Source organism: Homo sapiens, chromosome 11 (assembly GCF_000001405.40).
Source record: "Homo sapiens chromosome 11, GRCh38.p14 Primary Assembly".
NCBI classification, from domain to species: Eukaryota; Metazoa; Chordata; class Mammalia; order Primates; family Hominidae; genus Homo; species Homo sapiens.
The window spans coordinates 118276620-118279933 of record NC_000011.10 but is presented as its reverse complement, the minus strand read 5'-3'; the positions used below and the strand labels follow the sequence as shown (position 1 = coordinate 118279933).

Below are 3314 nucleotides of genomic sequence, written 5' to 3'. Positions count from 1 at the left end.
ATCTAAAGTAGATGAGGAAAATTGGGTAGAATAGAATAGTGAGAATTAAATGATACAATGTATTCAAATGCTTTGCAAAGAGCTTTGCAGATGGAAGGTTCTAGTATCTGGGTTGTGAATTCCATGAAGCTAAATATGGCATCTTCATATATTTTTTTTCAGCACAGTGTTAGACATATAACAGGTGCTCTATAATTATTCAGCCTTAGTTTTTAAATTCAATTTAAACATTATTTGGTAGATGAATGAATGGGTATATTCCAAATCCTAGGTTTCAGCCCAACATAGTACCATTCTTGATCATTAACTTAGTAATTAAAACTTATAAAGAGTGAATAAAAGTAGGAGACACATTCTGACAATTAGTATTTAATTAGTGTTTATTATTTAATCGACATTATCAATTAGTTTTAATTTAATCATGTTCAAATAGAATATATTATGATACAGATTACATTTGCTCCTTTCCTTTCATGGTTGCACCTAGGCTGAAAACAGAGGAAGGTGGGAAGCCCTTGTTCAGTGTAGATATCCCAGTCTTAGAGATGATCTTCACTTAGATGCAAAGATAAGCCAAGTTAAAGCTGGGACTGAGTTTTAGGTTGTCACTTCACTTCCTTAGTAAACTTCTTTAGGTTCCAACAGTGGGAGCTCCATACTGCTTAGCATCACTGAGGTGTGGGGCACACAGATGCTTCAGTAAGAATGCATTCACTCATCCAGCAAATGCGTATTGAGCATCTACTATGTGCCTAACAGTTAGGTGTTGGGGATACAGAGACATGAACCCTGCCCTGGAGGGATTCAGTCTACAGTAGAGGCAGACGTGTAAACAAGTAATGACCATACAGTGCAGCAAAGGCTATAAAAAAGGTGTCCCAAGGTGCTAAGGGAACTATTAACTCCAGGTCCAGGGGACAGGGAAGGCTTCATGGAATGTGAACTTAATTTTGAAAGGCAAATAAGAGTTGATCAGCTGGATAAAGTAGACAGAACATATGCACAAATATATATGTGGAGGTAAGAACAAGTATGTGATTAGTTTGGCATAGTGATGAATAAGGCTTAAGGAGCCTGGAAAGTGGGGAAAGAGGGGCTGGTTAGTTGACAGAGGCAGATCATGAAAGGCCTTAATCTGTGAATTAAGAAGAGCCAGTTAAGGTATACATCCAGCTTAATAAGATAAGAGACCTTAAAGTAAATGGAAAATTATACCTTTATTATAGTTATGCACAAAACAGTTTTTAAAGAGGTTTTTTTTTTTTTGAGACAGAGTCTTGCTCTGTTGCCCAGGCTGGAGTGCAGTGGCGTGATCTCGTCTCACTGCAACCTCCATCTCCTGGGTTCAAGCAATTCTCCTGTCTCAGCCTCCTGAGTAGCTGGGACTACAGGCACACACCACCATGCCCAGCTAATTTTAGTATTTTTAGTAGAGACGGGGTTTCACCATGTTGGCCAGGATGGCCTCGATCTCTTGATCTAATGATCCGCCCACCTCAGCCTCTCAAAGTGCTGGGATTACAGGTATGAGCCACCGATCCTGGCCTAAAGAGCTTTTAAAGAGAATCCTGTCTTTTAAAGGATCCTCAGGGACCATTTATGCATTTCACAAGTCATCATACTTATGATTTTATAATCAGTGCCTGGTTTGGTCATTCACTTTCTTACTTTCTTTGGATTTGATCTACATGACTTTTAAATGTGTCCAAAAATCAAGCCCATTCTCAAAAGCATGAGGATTTGCCATCAGTAAAAATCTCAAGGCTGGATGCAGTGGCTCATGTCTGTAATTCCAACACTTTGGGAGGCTGTGGTGAGTGGATCACTTGAGGTCAAGAGTTTGAGACTAGCCTGGCCAACATGGTGAAACCCTGTCTCTACTAAAAATACAAATAAAATACAAACTTAGCCGGGCATGGTGGCACGTGCCTGTAGTCCCAGCTACTAGGGAGGCTGAGGTGGGAGAATTGCTTGAGCCCAGGAGGCAGAGGTTGCAGTGAGCCGAGATTGCATCACTGCACTACAGCCTGCGCAACAGAGCGAGACCCTGGTTTTTTTTTTTTAAATCGAAAAATGTTATGATTCAAACTCCTAAGGCAATTCTAAAAATGTTCTAGAAATATCTGGAATAACGTCAGCATCATTAGAATAAAAGCTTGTCCCCAAGGTGACAACTTTAAATGACAATTTTTCTTTGGCTTTAAAAGCTTCTTTTCCTCTTGGTTATTGCTAATGTAGCTCAGCAGATATTGACACTCAAGACAGCATATAACATTGGAACAAACTGCAAGAAAAGAGCGATGTTGCTGGGACTTTTCCCTGAGTTTTCCCCTTTCCAAAGCTAAGGGTGGACCCCCTCACTGAGCTAGGCAGGAAAGGCTTTCCTCTTTAGCTCTGACTCACCTGAGAAGACTCACATCCTGTTTGCCTGGACAAGCAGCTGGCTGCCCTTTCTACTCAGAAAGGCTTCTCAACTCTGACAAGTCCAACCTGCTTGTTCTCTTGAAGCTTCAGGCCTCAATGGGAAATGGAGGGGAAGGTAGAAAGGCTGAAATACCTTAGCTAACTCAGCACCTTTGCTGCTTTTCAGCATTTGGCAGATCTATGATGATGCCTCCTGCCATACAATTTGCAACCCCTGCACTGTTCTATAACCTGTCCAGTGAGTCCTCTGATCACAGCCTTGGATGTTGAGGCAATGTCAAATTACTTGTAATAACTTTAAATACTTACTCTCAGGTTTTGTATTTATCTCCTTAAGGACCAGTGACAGTTTCCAGGTAGTCTGCAGGCCACACTTTGAGATGCATTGTCCCAATTTTTTTCAGTGAACAGAAAGTTCTGGAAAGATGACTAGGTAAGGTATAAAAAACCTGGTCCCATGTTAGCATATTGAAAGCCCTGAGGAGTACTGTAGCTAAAACCAAACCAAAACAAAATTCTTTTCATTAGTTTAATCTAGCATTTTCCCTTGTGTACAGAATCTTTTCTGTTGTTCAGTACCTACTAATATCTTGAGGAGTGGTGTCTGTCCAGATGCCAATCTAGATGTTAGTGTAATAGGTCTCCACGGCTTCTTGCAATTTTGAGTTTTAAGCAGGCAAACTCTTCCCATTGCTTGAGTTATTGATTCTATACTTCTCCCTGCTTACATTATCTCAAACAAAATGTGTCTGCTGCCCCCTTTTCTCCCCTGAGATGGCTGAGATGGCTTGTGAAAAGAGCAAAGAACAAGAGGTGGAGTTACAGTAAGTCAAGGACCCTGGACAGAAAGTTGCTGAGGCTGAGGCCAGGGAAAACAAGAATTACTGGTG

General features: G+C 40.9%; 1 annotated feature.

Annotated features, from left to right (window-relative positions):
* Window positions 2206–2500: an enhancer, noted in NCBI's record as "tiled region #14251; HepG2 Activating non-DNase unmatched - State 7:EnhWF". NCBI's record gives its function as "activates a minimal TATA promoter and a strong SV40 promoter by Sharpr-MPRA in HepG2 cells {active_cell/tissue: HepG2}" and the evidence as "EXISTENCE:reporter gene assay evidence [ECO:0000049][PMID:27701403]".